Genomic DNA, 23,850 nt, shown 5'->3' on the forward strand with positions numbered 1-23,850 from the left:
TTGCCCTCGATGGGCAAACTTGCTTGTTCGCCCCTGCCTGGACGCATGAAAAGGAAAAGACCTCCCCAAAAAGGTTCAGCTAAATTGAATCCTGAAGCTACAATCAGACAAATCCAAAGCAAGGGACTGTCAGCAGGACAGATGACCTAAACGTTTCAAAAAAGGTCAATGTCATAAAAAACAAAAATGAAAAATATGGGGGGTTGCTTCTAGATTGAGAGAGATGAGAGAGAAATAACCAATGCCATTTGTGAGCCTTGAATGGATCCCAGATTTTTGTAAAGCTGTAGGAGTTATTTTTGGAATAATTGGGAACACCTAATAGAGGATCAGGCGATATTGAACTAAGTATCTTAGGTACAATGCTGGTGCTGTGGTTAAGACAAAATTCTCAGATGAGTGCTGAGGTATTGAGGGGTGGAGCTCAGGGGATTGCTACGCACTTTCAAACAGTTCAGAGAAAAGTGTGTGTGTGCATGTGCGTGTGTGTGCATGTGGGTGTGTGCGCATGTGTGCATGTGGGTGTGCGTGTATGTGTGTGTGTGCCTGTGTGCATGTGCGTGTGTGGGCATGTGGGTGTGCATATGTGTGTGTGCATTGCATGTGTGCCTGTATTGTGCATGTGTGTGTGTGCGTGTGGGTGTGTGTGCATATGTGTGCGTGTATGTGTGCATTGCATGTGTGCCTGTATGTGTGCATGTCTGTGCATGTGGATGTGGTGTGCGTGTGTGTGCCTGTGCATATGTAGGTGTGTGCCTGTGCATGTATGCATGTGTATGTGTGTACATATGTGTGTGGAGAGAGGAAAAGGGGAAGAGAGGAGCGGGAATGCATACAAGTGAGACAAGAGGTAAACAATTGGTGTATGATTGCGATCAAGAGTATATGGGTATTTATTGCTATTCTAATTATTTCCACTTTTATGAGGTTTGAAAGTTTTCAAAGTAGTGAGTTGGTAGGAAGAAAGAAAATGCCCAAAGAGGGAGCCTACCGACCTTCCTGGGTCCCCTGTCCTTGTCAGCCAACCACGTAAAGGGAAAGAGCTAGGATTTAATGACCGGATTCCTTCCTGGGCTCCAAGCATTTTCACATCTTGCTTCTCATTGCTCCGTGAGAAGTTGGGCAGGCCTTTCTAAATGCTCCATGCTTCAGTTTCTCCAAATCTAAATCCGGAAGATTTGCTCCAGGTCACACGCAGACCAAGTGGAAGTGGAGCTGATGGGAGGGACCTAGCCTGTGGGCTCCCTGCTTGGACCCTGGGCCCTGCACCCCGTCAGCTGCTAGGCTCCCCTCTTGGGTCTGGTGTGTTGGTTTCTGAAGCCTGTTCTCCCAAGTCCCGGAGGTGTCAGGGATCCCAGGGCCACCCAGCTTAGCTGTGCCTGCCTCCCTCTGCGCTAAAGGAGCCACTGTGCCAGCCTGGAACTCACGGCATCCCCTTTAGGATGTTGGCTCCACAGGGATTGGCTCCTTGGCAGATGCAGTCGCTCCTGATTGGACAGTGGTGTCTGCAGCTCGACAAGGTGGACTCTGGGCCAGTCGGCTCTGCCTGTGTGTCTTGCGTCCTGAAATGCAAAGCAGGGGCTGTGGGGAAATCTCACCAACCCCTCCTCCCCTGGGAGGTGGCAAAGGTGGTGGACTGGGCTGCTGGGACCCTGGGGAGGAATGAAACAGAGGCTGTGTTGATGGCCTGCAGTTCCTTGTAATGTGGTCATCAAACGGTGTACAGTTCCCGTCTGTGGCTGCAGGCTGGAGAGCTGACTGCTGGCACAGATACAGCCTGACCTCGGGTCAACACTTCTCGGAGTCCAGAGGGGTTGGGAGTGGGACAGGTGGCCTCCCAGGGACGCCTCCCTGAGTGGCCAGTGGTGCCGCTTGTCCCTGCACCTGTAGCTGCCCTGAGCACCCCCACTGGACACAGTGGGCATTGCACCCTCCGGAGAAAGCTGCCCTTGTTCCACGTGCGAGCCCTGTCCCCAGCGCCATGGGCTGTGCTACCTGCAGTAACGCAGACTGCGAGCCCCGGCTGCCTCTCCAGTGCTCTCTCTCCTCTGGCCTTCAGCAGGCTGGGTCACAGAGGTATCCATCCACTCATTCATTCACTCAACAAATATCTGTTCCATGTCTACTAGGTGCCAGGCACAGCTGGGAACCAGCAGACAAAACTCCCTGCTTTCCCGGAGCCGGCATCTTGGTGGGCAGACAGCATAAGCGAGACGAGTAGGTGGAGGAGAAGGCGTGTGAGCAGGTGACAGGCGCTGGGGAGAAACAGCCCAGGGGAGGGACCAGGGAGTGTGGGGGAGACGGGGACTGCGATGAAAGGGAGGCGTCCAGGGAAGACCTCCATGAGAAGGTGACCTTGGCATAAAGAGGCAAACGTGGGAGCATGCTCAGGCAGACCACGGTGGTCAGAAGTTGAATTCGGGCCGGAGGAGGAGGAGTGCATGAAGCCCTGAGGTGGGAGTGAGTCTGTCTGCTGGGTTCACAGACCCCCAGGGAGCCAGTGTGGCAGGGGCCAGTGTGTGAGGGGCTCAGCGGGGGATGTGGCTAGAAAGGTTGTGGACCCACTGTTGAGATTGGACTTTGGCTCTGAATGGAATGGAAGCCATTGGAAGGTTTGGAGTGAAGCAGTGACATAATCTGACTTATGTTCTGGGAGGATCACCCTGGCCGCGTAGAGTCTGCCGGCGGGGGTGGAGGTGGGCGCAGGGAATGCTGTGAGGAGCAGCATGAGAGCCGGTGGCAGCTGGGCAGGAGAGGAGACAGGGAGAGGCACGGGGCCCCTGGCCCAGGGATGGATTGGATGTGGGAGGCGGGACGTGGGAGGAAGGGAGGAGTCGGGGTGACTCCCGGGAGTGGGACTGACACCTGGGAGGGTGGGGAGCTCGTTACTCATCTGGGGCCACCCTGGGAAGAACTGGGCTGGGGGTGAGGGCAGTCGGGAGCTCAGTGTCTGACCCAGGAATCCGAGGCACACGTTCCCCACCCTCATAGCTGAGCCACACAGGCAGGAAATAAACAGCTCTGGGGTTCAGGGGAGTGGTAGAGGGGGTGGGGTCTGCAGCATGGGGACGGGGTTCAGAGCCACGAGATGGGTGGAAATCTGAGGGGCTTTGTGGGGATGGAAAAGAATATATTCAAGAGCTGAGCAAGGGCAGCCACTGGAGGACAGCGATGAGCAGGAAGAAGCCCAGGAGACTGAGAAGGAGTGGCTGGAGGGATGAGAGGGGAGCGTGGAGTCCTGGGAGCTGGGGAAGCCGCAGGCAGCACCTCTGTCACCCCGATACGATGGGCACCGCTGGACCTAGCAACGAAGAGGTCACCGCAACCTTGGCAAGTGCAGTTTCCACGGAGTGGTGAGGGCAGAGGCTGATTGGAGTTGGTTTATAAGCCGGAAGAAGAAGAGGAATCGCAGATAAGTGAAGGAAAACTTTTTGAGGAATTTTCTCAAATGGAAGGCAAGAAACAGTGGAGAAGAAAGTGGGTCTAAGAAACTGCTTTTTTAGGCCGAGTGAGGTGGCTCACATCTGTAATCCCAGCATTTAGGGAGGCCGAGGCGGGCGGATCACTTGAGGCCGGGAGTTGGAGACCAGCCTGGCCAACATGGTGAAACTCCGTCTCTACTAAAAATACAAAACTTAGCCAGGCATGGTGGTGCACGTCTGTAATCCCAGCTATTTGGGAGGCTGGGGCATGAGAATCGCTTGAACCCAGGAGGCGGAGGTTGCAGTGAGCTGAGATTGTGCCACTGTACTCCAGCCTGGGTGACAGAGTGAGACTCTGTCTCAAAAAAAGAAAAAAGAAACTGTGTTTTTTGTTTTCTTTGGAGATGAGAGAAATAATAACTTATTGGGTGCAGCTGGCAGTGCGTCCTGAAGAAGGAGGAATGGGCTTGGGATGCCCTTGAGTGGGTGTGGGGCTGGGGACAGCCATGTGACCATGGACACTGTGGGGCCGGTTCACTGGGTAGCCACAGGAGGGAAGGCAGGTGGCTTTGAGCACAGATCGTGTCGCTGTGTGTGGAAGGTGGCTTCTGATTGCTTGTGTTTTCTCAGGGGTCTGGGAAGCAGCAGTGGCAGCTGAGGGTGGGGTGGGAAGGGAGGAGCAGCGAGGTGTCCCCTGAACCTGGGAGAGAGGATGCCGTAGAGCAGGTGCCCATAGACTCTTTCTGTAAAGGACCAGATAGTAAATAATTTAGGCTTTGCCAGCCAGCCAGTCTCTGTTGCAGCTCCTCAGCCCTGCCCTTGGAGCCCAGAAGCAGCCTGAGAGGATTCGTAAACAGGCATGGAGGTGTTCTAATGAAACTTTATTTACAAAAATAGGCAGCAGGCTGGCTCTGGCCTGCTTAGACTCCTGGCCCTCAACCTCGCCTCTAGGCCAGGGGTCTTCAAAGCATGGTCCCTGGGCCTGCAGCATCAGCGTTACCTGGAACTTGTGGGAAATGCAGATTCTTGGACCCCCACCCTATGTTCATGGAGCCAGTGACTCAGTCCCTGCACTGTTTTCCAACCCAAGTTGAGTTTGTGATTCCGGAATTCTGGAAGTTAGCTCAGCACCTAGACCCAAGAGAGAGTGAAGTGTGGGGTGGGCTACATGCCCTGTTAAAGGCACAGGCATCCCAGCCCCCATCCCCTTCTGCAAGGCTGTGTGAGGACATCCTGCCTCCCGTGGGCCGTGTTTGCTTATGCAGCATCCATGGGAGGGCTCCCTGGGGACGGGCTGTGGTGATGACTCTGCTCTCAGCAGAACCCTCCACTCTGAAGCCCTGGTTTCCTGTCCACGTCCCTCAGCTACTCAGGGGAGCCTGGGGGCAGGAACTCCATTGCTTGTAGGGGAGCCTCCCACAGCAGCAGGGCTCAGCCAGTGTTCCATGCAAGAAGAAATGCACTGTCCTCCGATCGAAAGCACAGCATCTTTAGGAGTTTAACGACAGTTTTTTAACGACTTTAGTGAGATGATTTGATTTCCTGCCTCTGAGTCATCTAAGAGCAAAATGCGTGAGCTGCTAATGGGCTCAAAGAGAGGCTGCCTTTGAGGCCCCTCCAGCCCCCCAGTGCTGCAGGGATTCAATCACCCCAAAGCCAGGTAACCAGCCTTGGCCTCCCAAAGTTCTGGGATTACAGGCATGATCCATCGTGCCTGGCCTGAATGAGGGTCTTTTTTTTTTTTTTTTTTTTGAGGCGGGGTCTCGCTCTGTCACCCAGGCTGGAGTGCAGTGGCGCGAACTCGGCTCACTGCAAGCTCCGTCTCCCGGGTTCACGCCATTCTCCTGCCTCACCCTCCCAAGTAGCTGGGACTACAGGCGCCCGCCATCACACCCAGCTAATTTTTTTTGTATTTTTTAGTAGAGACGGGGTTTCACTGTGTTAGCCAGGATGGTCTCGATCTCCTGACCTCGTGATCCACCCACCTCAGCCTCCCAAAGTTCTGGGATTACAGGTGTGATCCACCATGCCTGGCCCAAATGAGGGTCTTTAAGAATAAAACTCCAGGGGATCGTCACCAAGCCCCACCACTTCCTCTGAGGTTAGCATAGTGCTGGATCTTCTCTGCATCTTCTGTCCTTGTTTTTGGTTTTCATTTTGGTTTACTTGAAACAGGATCTTGCTCCATCACCCAGGCTGGAGTGCAGTGACACGATCATAGCACTCTGCAGCCTCAATCTCCCAGGCTCAAGCAATCCTCCCACCTCAGCCTCCCGAGTAGCTGGGATTACAGACATGCATCACCACGCCCAGCTAATTTTTTTATTTTTTAATTTTTTTGTAGAGACTGGGTCTCTACAAAACAAATGTCTCTGTGTTGCCCAGGCTGGTCTCAAACTCCTGTGCTCAAGCAATCCTCCTGCCTCGGCCTCCCGAAGTGCTGGTATTCCAGGCTGGTCCCATTTTACCAGCAGGTCTACACATGTGCTCACATCGCTCACTCAGAGGAGACCTCCGTTATTAGGGGGACCTAGACCTGTGCTGCCTTGACCCCAGGGACAGAGGTTGTTTGGGAATCCCCTCCCTTACTTTGATTTCTTCCGAGGAAGCCGGCTTCCTGGTGACGGGAGGTCACTGTTCTGGGGAAAAAGAGTGGGAAAAACAAAGCCAATCAGCCACTTGGCTAAGTGTCAGGTTTCCCAACAACTTCATGGGTTGCTGTGGATGGGCGGGGCTGTTTTGAGCCCAGACCATCCCTTTGCCTGTGGGTGTGGGACCACGTGATTTTGGATCAGGGGTCATTTGTCCTTCCAGAAGCCAAGCCCTGTTCCAGGCATGGGGGTGCAGCAGTGAGTGAGACCCACAGAACCACTGCCCTCCTGGAACACACCCCCCCCAGAGAGGGAACTGGGGCACCACAGACCCGTGTGCAGGCAGCAAGGGCGTGGTGTCGGCCGGGGAGCAGCAGGGACCCCTGAGCCCCACAGTCGGGGCTCATGGCGCTGAGAAGCACTGCAGCAAGGGCGCAGCCAGTAGGAGAGGAGCCGCAAGCGCAAGCATCCGCAGACAGTGTGAGCTCAGCGTGCTGGGAAGGCGGGGGCCTGGGTCAAGGGCCAGGCGGCAGAGCATAGGGGCCTGAGGGGGCAGTGCCTAGGAGTGGGAGGAAAGAGCATGGGACCAGATTCACTTTGGAAATAGAAGCCCCCAACCAGCAGCCAGCCAGGTGGAGGAAGGCGTGCAGAGCTGAGAGGGTTCAGGAGGCGGTGGGGGGAGCCACTGGGAGGGGACCCAGGGGTTCAGGTGAAAGACAGCAGTGGCTCAGCCCAAGGGTGGCAGCCAGAGATGTGGGTGGACGGCTGGATATTGGCAGCCATACTCATTATCAATGCTGCTGTAACAGCTCATCACAAACCCTGCAGCTTCCAACTGCCCAGAGTGAGATCTCCTGGTTCTTGTGGGTCAGGCATTGGGGCAGAGCAGGGCTGGGTCTGCTGTTTTGGGACCCCTGAGCTGCAGTCGAGGTTCTTGCCGGGACTGGGCTCACCTTGGAAACCTCTGGTAGGAAAGGATCCACTTCCAGGCTCCCTCGTTCGTTTGAAGGACTCCTTTCTTTGGGCTGTTGGGCTGAGGGCTCAGCTTCTCGCCAGCTGTCGGCCCGAGGCTGCCCTCAGTTCCTGCCCCAAGGGCCTCTCCAACACCACAGCTTGCTTCATCAGAGCCAGGAGGGACAGTCTCTAGCAAGACAGAAGTGACAGTCTTGCCATTACCTTTGCCGTGTTCTGCTGGTTAGAAGCGACTTGCTAGGTGCAGCCCACACTCCAGGACAGGGGCTGCCCAAGGGCAGGAATCCCAGGAGCTGCGGACATCAGTGGCATCTGAGAAGCTGCCTGACTTAGGAGCTCAATGGCAGCACCAGGAAGCTGCACTGGGCTGGAGTCAGGGCAAGGGACAGTGTCAGCGATGACCCTGGGGGACAGCAGTGCAGTCAGGAGCTCAGAAAGTACACAGATGCCCCCTGGGCGGTCTCTTCTGCACCATGTGGGCAGCAGAAACTACACCTACGGTTTCAGAACAACAGTTGGGGTGGTGTGGAAGGACCTCCACGACATATAAGGTGGGAGTGTGGAGTGATGGAGTGTGGAAACCCTTCTCACAGTTGTCACCTGCTCTCCAGCCCCTCCTGAGCCCGTGGACCTGCCTGCCTGCCGTGTGTCTGTCTGTCGTCTGTCTGTCTGTCTCTCTGCTGAGGGGCTCCCCGATGCCCTGAACCCAGACAGCCTCCTCAGCCTTTGTGATCCCAGAGTCTCCCGGCCAAACCTGGTTGATCTTTTTTAACCACCACCCTCTTCCCCTCCCTTATTTTGCTTTTCTTCCAGAATTTTCCCACTGTAAAAAACCGAGCAAGTCTGGATAAGTGAGGCTGGCTCCATGTATCCAGAATCAACGACGGGCTCCCCGGCTCGGCTCTCGCTGCGGCAGACGGGCTCCCCCGGGATGATCTACAGGTGACCCCCTGCCCCCTCACCCAGGCCCCCTCCCAGGGTCAGTCCTGCTTCGAGGACGGGTTCCCAAGGCCACTGTCCTCCCCTCTGGAGGTGGAAGGGCCCAAGCAGGGCCCACAGGCTTCTGCCTTCCACGGGGTTTTGAGGTGCACGCTGGTGAGCGTTTTCTCCAAGAAAGGAGCAGGGGCTTTAAAAACCCAAGTGGGAAAGAAAAACCAAAACTTTTCCAGGGCGTTTGAGCCAGAGTAGACTCCTTTCTTGTCCCTGACCCTTCCGAAATATCTCGTTTGAGGTTAACAGAGCGGCCGGACAGTGAGTGCACGGCCAACCCCGGCATCCTGTTCCTCCCACTTTATACATCGCAGCCCCTGTGGCCCTGCCAGTTTCTCCTGAGCGAGGATGACGACCTTGCAGGCCTTTGGGGAACCACGTCTGCCGGTTTCCCAACACTGGAGGGAGTGGGGGCGGCCAAATGCTCCTGGGGCATCCTGACCCCCTCCTTGTGGAACTCACTTCCGCTTGCAGCCCTGGGTGTTTCTGTCTGCACCATAAACAGCGCTGAACATCAGCGACAGCTGCGGAGGGCGTTCAGTGAGAGCTGAGCCTCTGGGGACAGAGCATAGAACCCACGAAAGACGCAGGCACAGGCAGTACCCCAGCAGCCCATCAGTCTTGGGAAGCCAGACCTTTCCGGATAATCACTGGGGCCTGAGCCAGAGCCCGTGTCTGTGACAGCCACAGGGAAAGGCAGTGTCTGTCCTAAGAAGAGCCAGGCGGGCAGGTGCGGGTTTGCCAGCACGCGGGTGCTCTGCACGTCTGGGTTGGAGGGTTTTCAGCCATTGCCCACAAGCATATTGCAAAGCAAGTCCTGAAGCACATTCAATCCAAACCAACCCTCACTCGGAGGTTCACCACGGAAAACAGGGCCTGGCATGGAAGGAGCCCTTGGTGTCCAGGAAACTGGCTCCGGGTCTCTGCCCCGTGGCCACCGGGTGGCGCTGCTGCAGAGCACTTGGCACCGGCTGCGCTTCCTCAGAGACTGCCCTGAGCAGGCGACTGGTGGGGGCCCGGGGGCATGGGACATTGGTGGTTCTTTCTGACCTGCACCTGCTGGGGTTGATGCCAACTGTGGACTCTCTCTCTTCTCTCCCTTTCTCCTTTTTCTCTTTTCTCCATTGCTGTCCGAAGTACTCGGTATGGGAGTCCCAAAAGACAGCTCCAGTTTTACAGGTAATGAGTCTTCATTCTCCCTAAAACCCAGCGAGCCGAAGGCCAGGGAGCGGGTGGGAGGACTGCACCCTTGCCGAGCAGGGTGTGCTGGTGTATTCTCTGAAGCCAAAGCCCCCGAGACCCCCAGGCTCTGCTCATCACCCTCTGTGCCTACCCACAGGATGCTGTGCAATGTCCTGATGGAAAATGTGAAGTCAGGTTAATTGTATGTGTTGGTCTGCCAGAAGTTTGCTTTGATTTGAGCAAATGGGCTTTTGATGACTGCCAAGCTCTCAGCCAAATCTACCGTTAAAGCTTCACTCATCAGGCAGTGAGGGAGATGTCTTCCTGTGGTCACCAGCTTGCCCTGCTTCCATTATCAGAGTACAGGACGTGGCGAGCCCATCCGTTCCCCCTTTGCCTGTGGGTTTGACCTGATCTGGAACTCACAGAGCTCCTCAGGCTCATTGAAGGTTAATGCCTGCTTGGGGGTGTGCAGTACTGATACGACGTGGATCAGTGACATCTTTCTGATATGTTTTTCTGTTGGTGAATTAACAAACCGGGCACCTGGCGAGAGACTGTGCCCCAGCAGGATGTGACATCAAGATGCCAGGCTTAGGGCCCTGCAGGGTGCTCTTGGGGAGACCCGTTCCTCTCTCTGGGCTGCCTCTCCCTCACCTGTAAGGCAGGGGATGCATGTTCTTGGTGCAGCCTCCAACCCTAGGAAGTAAAATGTCAGGGCTGCCTGGAGCCCATGGGCAGCAGCCTCCCCATGCCTTGGGACTGTTTGGGGAATTGGCACGGCTTCTGGCAGCAGGTCCCTGGTATGCATTGCTGCATCTTGGCGGTCAGGCCGGGAGGTCTCTCTATTCGGACCCGGACATCTGGTAACAGTGCTTTGGGGATCGTTGCCAATGTGCCAGGCAGTGGTCATGGAGGTGGCAATGTATTTCCATGTAGCTTTTCTCTCCCCGCGCCCCCACTCCCCACCCCCCCCCCCGTTTGCCAGCCATAGCACCTCTGATGGGGACCGTGGACCTAGATGCTCAGAGTGATCTGTGCCACGCCTTCAGTGCCTCCTCGGAGGTCCTGCTCCTTACAGGGAGCTCTGAAGACATGGCCAACTCTTAGATCCTACTGAAATTTTGGTAGATAAGATTTTGCTTAAGATAGTTAAATCTGAACTCCGGCTTGCAAATGCTTTCCCTGGATGAAATGTTTGTATTGTGATGTATGTACACATGGTATAACAGATCCTAACAAACATATGCCGCTCATCCCAGGGGATTTCATCAGTGAAACAAAACATGTACCTGAACTGCATCCTCAGAGAGCCGGGAGCAGCCTCAGTCCTCAGAAGGGAAGGGGTGAGGTCTGATGAGCAGGCAGGAAAATCCCAGGTGCAGACCTGCCAGCTCAAAAGGGCTGCCCACAGGTACAGACCATCCAGCTCCAAGGGCCTGCCCCTAGGAGGGGCCAAGTAAATTATCCAGTGACCAAGTGAGAGCCTTCCAGCCCACTCAAGGCCCTCAAAACCCCACAGGCTCAACATGTTGTCCCCCCCGCCGGGATCCCTGTGCTTAAGAACCTTCATTTCCAGGTGGCCTTCCTGGCCCCAAGGGAAGCTCTGAAGCTTACCCTCTAGGCTCTCAGCCCCAATTCTGGTGCCCACAGGCTCTGGCCATCCTACCCGTTGGATCTCCAGGGGGTCACTTGGGTGTCTCTTGTGGGGGCTCTGGAGATGACCTCTAAGGGCTAGGGTCTTTGTTTGTTAACAGGCTGGGGGCCACTCCTAGTAGGGCACCCTCATCACACCAAGCATACCACTAAACATGGCTATTGGATGGTTCTTTCAGTTACTTAGGCCTGGCCCTCTCACAGGGCAGAGGCGTTCAAGGCATGTGCCCTGCCCCCATGCAGCTCCCAGGCAAGGAATTGGCATAGGACACTGTGCCAATCAGCTGTCCACCAAGTGCTGCATAACAAACAACTCCAAAACTCAGTGCCACGCAGCAATCAGCATCTCTTCCTTGCTCCCGTGTCTGCGGGTTGACCAGGCAGCTCGTCTAAGCTGGCTTGGCTGGGTTTGTCTCCAAGCTGCAAGTTGGATCCCCATGTCCTCCATCTTCCCATGCTTAACTGGGGCCTACCCCAGGCATGTCCTTCCCATGGCAAAAGTACCAGAGGAAAAGCAGAAACATGCAGGGTCTCTTACGGCCTATGGTTGGGGTCAGAGCGCTGTCACCTCTGCTCACGTGCTTTTGGCCAAAGTAAGTCTCAGGAACCAGCCCACAGTCAAGGGGCTGGAAATATATTGCCCCCACCAGTGGGAGGAGCTATAAAGTCACATGGCAAAGGGCATGGGTACAGAGAGGGGTGAAGGATTGGGAGCAATACTTCCATGTACCCCAGGTCTCAAATAGCCCTGATGATCTCCAGAAGGCAGAGCACGTCACAGGAGAAGCCCAAAGAGCATTTGGGGTCCAAGGAAGGAGGGGCCACAGCCAGCTGAGAGCCAAGAAGACTTCACGGAGAAGGCAGCAGGGGCTTGGATCTGGTCCTTGAAGGCTGGGCAGGATTCAACGCAGAGGCTGGGAAGCATATTCCAGTAGATACAACAGCCTGAGCCACAGCTCAGAGGTGTGCACAGAGAACAGGAAGTGACAGTTACCCAGCCTGGGCCATCAGGGACATGATGGAGAATAAAGAGAGGCTGGCTGTAGAGGTGGATGTTGGTGGGGGGCCTCGAATGCCTAGCGATGGGGCACAGATGCACTCAGAGGGCACTGGGGAGCCATCTATGGTGTTTGAGCAGGGCAGGGGTCAGAGATCTGCTCTAGGAAGGAAGCCTGGTAGCAGGGAGTAAGACAGGGAAGAGAGAGGCTAATGCAAGGAGACCAGACAGTGCCCAGGAAAGGTGCAGGACGGCTGAGCTCCAGGAACTGCACAGAGAGAGAATGAAGGGGTGCAGGGCCTGAAAAAAGGACGTCAGAAGCCACGTCCACAGGGCTTGGCCACTGATGGGCAGGTGCTGAGACAGAAAGGGACAGAGAGGAGCAGTGGACCCAGGGAAGGAGAGGGCCTCATTCGGAGCATGTTAGGCTGCAGCTACCACCCAGTAGTGAGGCGCAGGCCCCCCGACCAGGGCGACATGTGGGGATCTGACAGAGTGGGCTTGGGCCTTTGGGGACAAACCATTTCAATTGCCAAGGCCTTCGCAGCTAGTCACCCGCAGCCAGGCACCTCCAGACTCTACGTGCTCTCCCAGCCTCCCACTTCATTTACCTTCCACACTGCGACTGGGGCACTGATTTCCTGTCCCCCACCTTCCCCCATGGCAGCTACCACTGTTTGCTCATTCATCATGGGGGGACGGTTCTGCCTCCATTCAAAATCCCACATTCACTGGCGCGCTTTCTCAGCCGGAAGATGATGTCACGCTGGGACTTTGCTGGCATCCTGTGACACGCAGTGACCCTGGGGGTCATGACCCTGGGGTTGGGGCTCAGCACTTAGCCTCATCCCAGAGCTCAGCCTTGTTTGGCCTAGTCTCAAAGCATTTCCCAAACCCCAGGTCAGGACATGTGCCGTGGAGAAGGGCTCCTGTGTCCCTGCCTGGAGTGAGTGGCAGTGTGGAGTCCAAATAGCAGGTTCTGGGGCCTTCCTGCCATTTATAGCTACCGGTAGTATCAGATATACCCATCTCGGGTGTATCCCCAGAGGACAGGAGGAGCATGCGCGTGTGCTGAGCAGAGGCCTCTCCAGACCCCCTTGGCTGTGGGTGGTGGCCCCATACGACGGGGCCCCCAGCTCCCCTGCTGCAGACACAGTTCAGAGTTGAGTGGTATGCGGAAGCCACAGGCTCTGTGTCCCGCACTCAGATACCAAAGAGCAAGGCCTGCCCCTTTCGACCTGTGGGTCCAAAGGTTTGTGTTTCTGGCACGCGGGGATGGTGGAGGCAGCAAGGGTAGGCCTGAGGGACGGGCAGGACCTCCCCCTCACCTTGGGCTGCACCCCAACCCCACGCACCGGGAGTCAGCCTTGCCAGGTTGCAGCACGGAACTGCACTTCCCGAGCTTTTAGGGGAAGAGGCACTCGTGAATAATTCAGCCTCTTTCACTGAGATGAAAACGCCCTAATAGAACTAATGGACTCGCTGCCTCAAAACTCGACTCTGGTGGGACTCATCTCATTCACCAATTGCTTCTGACGTCCTGCAGTGACACTCCCTAATGAAAAAGCCGCTGTGCCAGATCCTTAGAGTGTCTGGTGATCCCTAATAAACCAGACTGTGGCCTTTTTAACGAGCAGACGCCCCCACGAAGGCAGGTGAGTCCTCCCTTCAGCCGCTACCTTCCTAGTGGAGATGCCGCTTGGGGGCACGCATCCGCGGGAATGAAAAATAACAGAGGAGACCATATTTTGGGGTGGTTTTGTCTGATCCGGAATTAGACCCTCCGTGTTTTTGCAAAGCAGAAGACCTTAAAAAAGAGCCAGCCTGAGGTAAACTTGGAATGACCGTGATGGATGGGGTGGTGGGCGGCAGGTTTCAGCCGGGCAGCACCTCTCGCTTGAGTCTGCTCACAGCCCAGACCTGCCCAAGGCTGACTGTTTTCCCATCTGCCGGAGACACGGGCGTCTAGCTCGTACCTCGCTGTGTTCACCATTGATTAAGATTCAGCATTTTCCAGTTTTGCCCAGAGCGCTGTCAGGGAGGTTTGGTCTTGTCTGAAATGTCTGTGCAGGAAGCACGTGCTGAGGGAGCCAGGGGCTGCTTGTTTGGGCCTCAGTTTGCTGATTGTCCTTGAGCGAAAATCATTCTGTGTTTGCACTGAAGCAATGCCGTGTCTTGTAGAGCCGCACCCCGGAATGGTAGCAGCTCCCCTTCCATTTCCGCTTTGGAGAACTCTGGCTGGGCTCTCTGCTCTCTGGACAGGTGTCACCATTCAGAAGAGATGCTCAGGGTTCCTTCTCAATCTCAGGTTGTATGCTTTGTTGGCTTTCAGTAAACAGAACAATTCAGAAATTCCAGGTAGAGGAGTCTGGGGTGAGGTAGTGATTCCTACTGACTTAATGAGGTTAACATCTTCCTTGCATTTTTCCATGTCACGGTGTTAATTCACGTGAATTCCCCTGGGCCCCTGATCTACAGGAATAGATTTGCACCAGGCAGGCCCAGCCCAGGAAAGAACTTGTGGGTTCCACGTAATTAGCAATGGCTATTGAGGAGGGGCTCGTTTTTCTTGGTACCAGGGTGGTGAGGGAGTGTCAGGGCTCAGAGACCCTCACTCTGGAAAGCGGCCGGGATTTGGGATATTTTGAATTGGAAGTCAGGGGTCACTGTGCTCTTGAGCACAGGAGAAGTGGGGACCCTGAGGCAGGAGCCCGGCAGTGGGGCCACTCTCTCCTCCCTGCAGTGTCTTACCGGGGGGCCCTTCGTCCAAGGACCTGACGCTGCTAGAGTCTCGGCAAAAGCCCAGAATAGAGCCCCAGTGTGAGGGAGTCCAGAGGTGTCCTCTGTCCCCAGGCACCGCTGGTAACGGGCAGAGCCTCTTTGCCTTCTGCCTGTACCTATCCTTCTTCCCCTGGGGCAGCCCTCCCAGAGTCATGAGCCTTCAGGACCACAGGGAGCCCCCGCTGTACAGAGTCCTGGCATGGGAGTCCCCCCCACACAAGAGAGGGTGACCTGCAAAGAGCTGCTGGGTCTGAGGTAGGAAGCCAGCCCCGCCCCCACCAACAGCTGCCTGGCACTGCCAGGAAATGCCCAGGTATAGCCCTGGTTGGCCTTTTGGAGCCTGGGCCTTGGTTACTGTTCTACAAATATCTGAGCCCCTCCTCTGTGCACGGGACACTCCCGTGGGCACTGGTCAGGGGGCAGTGGCAGCAGGCAGAAGAGTCCTTGCCCTCCTGGACCCAACCTTCAGGGGAGTCCAGCGGCCATGGGCTCCTCATGGCACCAGCCCTGCTCCTCACCCCACCACCCCATGCCAAAGGCTGCCATTTCTGTGCCCGCAAGTTCCCTGGCCCAAGCCCTGCCCTGGCACCATGGGGACAAGCTCGTAGCAAGAGGCTCTGGGCTCCCTCCGTGCCGCAGGGCTCCCACCTGCAGGTCTGCTCCCAGGGCTGCAACATGAGCTCTAAGGAAAGATTGCAAGCGGGCCCCCACAGGGAGGGACGCCCTCTAAATCCTGGCCACAAAACCCATTCTGTCCTGCCCTCTCTCCCCTCTCCCACTCACATCCCCAAACTCAGCCTTCCACCATCTTGTTGTGAAGGGGGCGATTATTCACATCTGTGTTCTCTTCCCTTAAGCATTTTCTAGGGAGATTTGGTGTCTGTGTGGCTCACTCCTCTCACTCAAACCTGTGGTCACAAGTTCCTTCCCGCCCTGCCTGCTGGCCCCTGGTGGTGGATTTTTCTTTCCACAGCATTTATCATAATTGGTGTCTTATCCCACGCCCCCCAACAGACTGTCTTCTGGCTGCGTCACCAACTCCCACCCAGTTGTCCAAAGCCTCATCTCATGCAGCCCACAGCAGCCTGGTACAACAGGCCTCTGCCCAGCCTACCTCACAGATGTGGAGGCTGAGGCCGGGAGCGGTCAAGGTGCCTGCCTGGGCCACACCATGAGCAGGTGACAAGCAGAGCTGCCCCTGTCCAGAAGCTGGGCACTCAGCCACCCCGTCCTCCAGCCCCGGGGCCTTGGCTATATTTCTAGAGCCAAACCAGACCCGGATTGCTTTTTGTGAGTAATGTCTTGAAAGCTAATGGCTATTGATCTCAGCCTGGTCGGGCCAGGCAGGGAACTTGCGTGTCTGAGGCTGGTCCTGCCTTTCAGAAAGAGCCCTGGGGCTACAGCCTGCCCAGCTGGCCTTCTTTCTAAACACAGACCTCAGGGAAGTGAGGGTTGGCCCCCATTTGCCCCACACCGGACTGGCAGCTAGCCACATGGCCACCTCAGAAGCAGCTGCCTGCCACGCGCATGGAGGGAAGGGAGTGGCCGGCCAGTAGGCAGGGAAGGGAAGCTGGTGCTGCTGTCTGTGGGTGCCAAGGGCCTCATTTCCTAAGGTGAACCTCTCCTGGAGTCCGGGCCTCTCTGCCCTCCAGAGCGATTCTCCTGGAAGGCAGACGGCTTTCCATGCCAGGGTACCCGCCTGCTTTAGCGTCCAGAGGTCCAGCAGCCACCACCCCTCCCAGCATAGAAATGAGCAGTGGTGAATGCAACTCCTGGCATGGGAACCCCCCAGCAAGAGAGGACGACCTGCAAAGAGCCACTGGGCCTGAGGCAGGAAGCCAGCCCCGCCCCCACCAACAGCTGCCTGGCACTGCCAGGAAATGCCCAGGTATAGCCCTGGTTGGCCTTTTGGAGCCTGGGCCTTGGTTGCTGTTCTACAAGTATCTGAGTCCCTCCTCTGTACACGAGGGGCACTCCCATGGGCACTGAGCAGGGGGCAGTGGCAGTGGCAGGAGGCAGAAGGGTCCCTGCCCTCCTGGACTCAACCTTCAGGGGAGTGAATTCAGCACACAGGACAGCTAGAAAGGAATCAGCAAGGTGGATGATGGCGAGCGCCATGGAGACAGATCACAGCAGGAAAGAGGCACATGGTGTGGTTTGTGTGGGACAGAGGGTAGGATGGGAAACGCAGCCCCCCCACCCCCGGGAGCCATGCCCATCAGACAGAGGTGCAGAGGTGCAGACAGCACAGCAGGCTCCCCAAGGACGACTGGTTGCTCGCCTTTAGGGAGGGGGCCATCCAGCCCTGACCAGGGTGGTGGGGCCAAGGCCTGTGTGGACACTGCTACCCAGCTCCCTGTAGGGGCTCCTCGGGGGCTCCTTGCCTGCTGGTCTCTCTTTAGCTCTTCTCTGAGCCCACCTTCCCTACCTCAATTGCATGTTCATGCAACAGGCATTTGTAGGCTCTGCTCTGAGCTAGGCCTCATGCTGGGCACAACAGGGCAGACATGAATGAAGGTCCCTGCAAATAAGATACAGACGAATACTTGCAGGGAAACCCCCATGAAAGAGGCAGCTGTGGGGCTCCTGGAGGTGGCCCCCCTCTCTGGGTGCACATATAGGCAGAGCAGTGAAAGGTCAGCAGGCTGGTCACCCATTCTGGAAGGACCCCAGCACATGGGGCTCATCACAAACTCCTGCCCCTTGTGGGTCTTTCCTTTGGCCCCTGGAGCTCACCCCAGGAAAGGCCCAGCCTGGGGCAACTCCAGGACATCTCAACCCCCTTCAAGGACCGTGCTAAAGCCTCTGTAGCTGCCTCAGCTCCCAGGATAGCCCTCCCAGCTCCTTCCCAGGGATAATCGAACTTTTCCTCTCTTGGGGCAGAAGGTGGGGACAGTGCTGGTTCCTTTCCAGCTCCCAGGCCAGGTTCCAGGATCCCACTGTGCAGCTGACCCAGCTGAAATGGTGACTTCCCCTCTGCACCTTCTCTCTCTGGTGATGATGCAGAGCTGCAGTGCAGGCCACCTGGGCCATGGCCGAGGCTGCAGTCAGGTGGGGTGAGGGTCACTGGACTGGGGACCTCCTTTGTGTTGAGCCTGCCTCCATGTCCTCATTGCGCTGTCACAGACTCTGCAGGGTGAGGACTCAGCCCCGAGGCTGCCCTCACTGGTCCACTCACTGTTGTGCACATGAATTAACACCAGTGGTTGCGTTCTGGACACACGCTTTCTCCCTTGGCCTTTTAATTGTCCACTATCTCTCAGGGCTCACTCACTCACTATGTTGAGATGCCTCATTCTTGACAGCAGCACAAATTCCCACTATGTGGATGGACTGTCACTTAGGTAACCAGTTTCCCTACTGATGGACATTTACATTGCTTTTAGTTTCCAAGAATGTGCATTCATCATTTCAGCTATATTTCAGTGGTTCTTCACATAGAAACTTTGAAACTCCCCTGTCCCAACTAAGCCTATTTCCCCAGGCCACTCTCCTCCGCAACCTGCTTAAATGCATTCTGCTCAGTTTTTCTTTTGCAAAAAGCATGAAGCCCAAAGATCTCTGCGGTGCAATGATGCGTTCAACAAGCAGGGAATGTGTTGTATAGATAGCATTTCCCTTTACAAGGCTAAGAGCAAATAGGACCTTCCCATGTTGGGGCCACCTGGCATGCGGGGGTGAGGTGCCTCCCTGGCATAATTACAGGAGAGTTTACTTCAGCAACAGGTGTGCCCTGCGCTGCTTTCCCAGGGACAGCTTTTGACCCAGTTTTACCCTGGGAACCACCTCAAGAGACCACCATGACATGGTACCGCAGTCACCACGGAACAGCAACCCTGGTCTTCAGCATTTGGGGGGCTCAGGCTCTGCATGCTCTCTGTGCTCCCGTTTTCATTTGGACACTTGGGGTGCAGCTGTCCTGCCTGGAATGCAGCTTTGCCTGTGCTTGTCTCACAGATGCAGGGGACAGAAAAGGGCAGCTTAGCCAGAGTTCCTGGCAAGCACTGCTTTGCGGACTGAGAATCTCATGCCAAGAGGTGTTTACATCCAGGGGCCGGGTCCCACTCCTAGACACCAAGACCTGGTGGTGGCACTAGTTAAAGGATGTTTCGCTGCAGCTGCCCCCTGCCCCAGGGCCAGCCATCCAGCCTGGGGCACGTGGGGCATTGGCACACTGTCTAACTCATCACCGTCTGGACAGTGGCAGCTCCCAAGCCAGGCGGCACCATGCTGTCCATGACGTACAGCGAGAGTCTGCGGAGCGTGAGCAGCAGGTGCCACTCTGAATGGGCCCTGCACCCCGTCCGCCAGACGGACACGCTGGAACTGCAGCGGCTGCGGGAGGTGCGGGCGGCTGCCCAGGCCAGGAACATGGAGAGCTTCCTCCGCATGCACGGCCTTTCCCTGGACGGCTGCACCGCCCAGCGCACAGGCATGAAGTATCGGTAAGGGCCGGGCAGGGGGGCGGTGGGGTGGGAAGTCTGATTTCAGCCATATAAATATGTATAAAAGGGCTGGGCACGGTGGTTCACACCTGTAATCCCAGCACTTGGGGAGGCAGAGGCGGGTGGATCACCTGAGATCAGGAGCTCGAGACCAGCCTGGCCAACCTGGTGAAACACCACCTACTAAAAATACAAAAAATAGCCAGGCATAGTGGGGCGCACCTGTAGTCCCAACTACTCAGGAGGCTGAGGCAGAAGAATTGCTTGAACTCAGGAGGCAGAGATTGCAGTGATCCAAGATCATACCACTGCACTCCAGCCTGGGCGACAAGAGTGAGACACTGTCTCAACAACAACAACAAAAATGTATAAAGGAAGAAAATGAGGCCAGGCACGGTGGCTCATGCCTGTAATACCAGCACTTTGGGAGGCCGAGGTGGGTGGATTGCTTGAGCCCAGAAGTCTGAGACCAGCCTAGGCAACATGGCAAAACCCCATCTCTACCCCAAAATACAAAGAAATTAGGTAGGCATGGTGCCATGCACCTGTAGTCCCAGCTACTTGGGAGGCTGAGGTGGGAGGATTACCTGAGCCCAAAGAATCTGATGCTGCAGTGAGCCGTGATCGCACCACTGCACTCCAGGCTGGGTGACAGAGCGAGACTCCATTGCGCAAAAAAAAAAAAAAAGTTTAGTAAATTCTCCATGGGGTAAAAATGTGTGGGTGTGTTTCTCCATGGGGAAAAATGTGTTTCTGGGTGTTGGAGACCCCTGCTCTTAATGATAGGCACGTAGGTCTGAATTTTCTTGGAACCTCCAAAGGACATTCTTTTTAGTGCGCTTGTCTTTGAATTCAGCACCTCGGACAGCGCTCTGCTAGCCACCGTTCTCTGGCTGGTGTAAATCCCTCTCAATTGCAAATTGACAGCTTTATCTTCTGTGCCTCTCAGGAACATGCCCTTGTGAGAGCCATTCAGCCAAAGAGGACCCTCCCCACCCAGTCCTTGTAGAGTTGCCAGTTAAATTTGAAGTTCAGATAAACGCGTAACTTTTTAGCATAAATACGTTCCATGCAATATTTGGGTCATACTTATACTAAAAAGTTCCTCATTGTTTATCTGAACTTCAAATTTAACTGGGCGTCCTGTGTTTTATCTGGCAACACTAAATATCTGGCTTCCGTCTGAGACAGACCCTAGGGATCATCTGCGTGCTCTGTGCAGAGTGGAGTGCAGGCCAGGACCGCTCCTTTAACGTTTTCTCCTGTGGACGGCGTGTTTGGTCCTTCAGCCCATTGTTTGAATATGTGGTTGTAATTTAGAAACAAAACACTTCTCCTGTGAGTCCATTAGATGGCAGTGTTTTTCAGGCTTTGTATCCTAAATCCAGCTGTAAAGGAAGGACAAAGGGTCCGCTAGTTTGGCCACAGCTGACCTCCTTGTTCTGCTGGAAATTTCTCAAGAAGGAGACGCTGGGCATTCATGAGGGGCTGGTCATTGATTCCTTTTGTTTATTCAGTAAATGTTTATTGAGAGTCTGCTTGGCACCAGGCGCTGAGCCAGATCCTGGAGCTGCTGCATGAACAAGAGCAACCAGGTCCCCAACCTCACGGCAGCCATGGCCTGGGGGTGTGGGGGGCAGAGAAGCAGCGAGCTTGCACGGAGACAAGTTCCAACAGCGACCACTGGCCGAGGCAGCAAAGCAGGACAATGCAATGAAGAAAGACCAGGGAGGCCGAGGGGGAACCCTCTGAGAGAGGGATCATCTGAAGATGTGGAGAACATTCCAGCCCAAGAGGAGAGGGGTCTGGAATGGATGCCTCTCTCAGCTGGAGGAGCGAAGAGAAGGCCCAGGCGGCTAGGCTGGAGGGAGGAAGGTGGAGGACACAAGGCGATGATGCAGGAGGGGCCAGACCCCATCCTCCAAACTCAGGGAAACCTCAGCTCTCTCCTATGTGGACAGGATTTGTGATGGAGGATAGTTTAGTGGGTTAAATCAAGACCCCCCAAAATTCACATTCATCCTAAACCTCAGAATATGACGTTAGGCTGGGTGTGGTGGCTCACGCCCGTAGTCTCAGCACTTTAGGAGGCAGCCTGGGTAACATGGCGAAACCCCATCTCTAAATACAATCAAAAAATTAGCCAGGCATGGTGACACATGCCTGTGGTCCCAGCTACACAGGCGGCTGATGCAGGAGGATCACTTGAACCCAGGATTTCAACGCTGCAGTGAGCCCTATTTGTGCCACTGCACTCCAGCCTGGGCGGCAGAGTGAGACCCTGTCTTAAAAAAAAAAAAAAAAGAAGAAGAAGAAGAATGTGACATTATTTGGAAATAGGGTCATTGCAGATATCATTAAGATGGGGCAATGGGGCCATACAAGACTAGAATGGACCCTAATTCCTACGACTGGTGTCCTTATAAGAAGGCCATGTGGTGATAGAGAGTGGAGTGACGGGTCCACAACCCAAGGGACTCTGAGGAGTCTCGGTGTTACCGGTGGAGGGTGTGCAGCCAGGTTCCTGGCATCTTGAACAAAGAATTGGACAAAACGCACATACAAAGCAAGGAAAGAATGAAGCAACAAAAGCAGCCGGGTGAGGTGGCTCACGCCTGTAATCCCAACAGTTTGGGAGGCCAAGACGGGTGGGTTACATGAGGCCAGGAGTTCGAGAGCAGCCTGGGCAACATGGCAAAAGCCTGTCTCTACTAAAAATACAAAAATTAACCAGTCGTGGTGGCGGGCACCTGTAGTCCCAGCTATTCGGGAGGCTGAGGCAGGAGAATCACTTGAACCTGGGAGGCGGAGGTTGCAGTGAGCCAAGATGGAACAAAAGTACACTCCACAGGATGGGAGTGGGCAAGCGGCTCAAGAACCTGGATACAGAATTTTCTGGGGTTTAAATACCTTCTAGAGGTTTCCCATTGGTTACCTGGTGTACATCTTATGTAAATGAAGTAGTGGCCTGTGATCATTCTGATTGGTTGCAGAAAGTGACCAATTAGAGGCTGAAATGAAGTTACAAAGTTACACTTCTATGCAAATGAAGACTTGGCCCACAGCCAGCCTGATTGGTTGCGGGAGGGGACAAATCAGAGGTATTTTCCATTTTTCGTCTGCCACACAGAAAAGGGGGCGCCATGCAAAGAGAGTAGCCTCTGGTTCTTTTGTTACTTGGGCGTGGAAAGTTGGGGTTTTCCTTTTGACTTAGTTATAGGAAATCAGCGGGAATTGGCCTTCAGTTCCCTGCCTCCAGACCCTGGTCTCCTGCCCCAACAGGAGCCACGAGATGCTGGAAGGGACAGGAAAGGACACCTCATGAGGGTGTTTGGAGGGAACACTGCCCACACCTGGACTTCAGACTCCAGAAGTGGGAGAGAAGACATTCCTGTTGTTGTAAGTCCTCTAATTTGGGGATCTTTGTAATGGCAGCCGCAGGGAACTAACACAGGTGGAGAGAACATATCTTTTATTTGCCTGAAGCCCCGAGGAAAATGCCTGAGCAGCCTCGGAGACACTGCAGGTCCCACTGTGGGGCTGAAACGCCCTTGGGGATCTCGCTTCTCAGGGAGTGGAGGAGACCAGAAGACAAACGCTTTTTTTTTTTTTTTTTTTTGAGTTGGAGTTTCGCTGTATCGCCCAGGCTACAGTGCAGTGGCACAGTCTCGGCTCACTACAACCTCTGCCTCCCAGGTTCAAGCGATTCTCCTGCCTCAGCCTCCCAAGTAGCTGGGACTGCAGGGATGCACCACCATGCCTGACTAATTTTTGTATTTTTGGTAGAGACAGAGTTTTGTCATGTTGACCACGCTGGTCTCAAACTCCTGACCTCAGGTGATCTGCCCACCTTGGCATCCCAAAGTGCTGGGATTACAGGCATGAGCCATCTCACCCCACCAACAAAGTCCCTTTAGCAGTTGATGGGCCAGAGGTTGTTGTTACACCCAGGTCAGGGTGAAGGTGGGGCGGGGAGGGTGGTGGCCTCACTCTATCTGGTGAATTTCATTTTGCTGCACCAGGGTTGACGGGGTGGGTGGGATGCTCCGTGACTCAGACCACCAGTTATTAAAGATCCCAGATAAATTTATTCTGTGCTTACCTCTTCTCCGTCAGCGACTGGGCTGGGTCACCATTAAACTTGGTCTTAAATATGAATATAGAAAAGATGATACCTGGGGATAGGCACTGCCCGGTGCCGCAAGAAACCAGCTGTGCCCCTGGCCTGGGCATTTCATCAGCTGAACTGAGCTGTAGCTGATGGAGGTGGACGGCAGCATGCCTGTTACACTTCCCCAGTTTTTTTTTGAGACAGAGTCTCACTCTGTCACCCAGGCTGGAGTGCAGTGGTGCAATCTCAGCTCACTGCAACCTCTGCCTCCTGGGTTCAAGCGATTCTCCTGCCTCAGCCTCCCGAGTAGCTGGGACTACAGGCGCGAGCCACCATGCCCGGCTATTTTTTGTATTTTTAGTAGAAACGGGGTTTCACCACGTTGGCCAGGCTGATCTCAAACTCCTGACCTCAAGTGACCCACTCGCCTCGGCCTCCCAAAGTGCTGGGATTACAGGCGTGAGCCACCGCGCCCGGCCTACACTTCCCCATTGTTTAAACTGTCCTCAATTATTGCTGTTAAAAAGAATTTTAAGATGAATTTTTAAATCCACACAGCCCCTGTGTAAGCATGAGGGAGCAGGGTGAGGGCAGCTGGCCTAGCACACACTTCCCCTCCCCTGTGGACGTTAGGGTTCAGAGATGTGGCCTCAGAATGGCAGGCCAGAAGCTGTGGCCGGGCCCACACTGTGCTGACTGGACA

General features: G+C 55.2%; 1 protein-coding gene across 15 annotated transcripts in view, besides 1 other annotated feature; it reads left to right on the plus strand.

Annotated features, from left to right (window-relative positions):
• KCNAB2 (potassium voltage-gated channel subfamily A regulatory beta subunit 2) overlaps positions 1-23,850 on the plus strand; it is a 108,505-nt gene that overhangs the window by 40,043 nt on the left and 44,612 nt on the right. For 7 of the 15 annotated variants that reach the window (XM_047432866.1, XM_047432870.1, XM_011542321.4 and 4 more), the window contains 2 exons: positions 7,799-7,927; positions 9,113-9,154. In XM_047432866.1, the coding sequence (XP_047288822.1) occupies positions 7,851-7,927; positions 9,113-9,154 (119 nt within the window). In that variant the 5' untranslated portion in view covers positions 7,799-7,850. Of the gene's footprint in view, positions 1-1,969; positions 2,077-2,342; positions 2,455-7,798; positions 7,928-9,112; positions 9,155-13,169; positions 13,466-18,792; positions 19,037-23,850 lie in introns of those variants that run through there. The other 8 variants (XM_047432872.1, XM_005263514.4, NM_172130.3 and 5 more) reach the window with 5 other exon arrangements.
• Positions 20,717-21,217: an enhancer, noted in NCBI's record as "H3K4me1 hESC enhancer chr1:6113495-6113995 (GRCh37/hg19 assembly coordinates)". NCBI's record gives its function as "activates a minimal SCP1, AML or CMV promoter by ChIP-STARR-seq in naive H9 embryonic stem cells {active_cell/tissue: H9 hESC(naive)}" and the evidence as "EXISTENCE:reporter gene assay evidence [ECO:0000049][PMID:30033119]".

Source organism: Homo sapiens, chromosome 1 (assembly GCF_000001405.40).
Source record: "Homo sapiens chromosome 1, GRCh38.p14 Primary Assembly".
NCBI classification, from domain to species: Eukaryota; Metazoa; Chordata; class Mammalia; order Primates; family Hominidae; genus Homo; species Homo sapiens.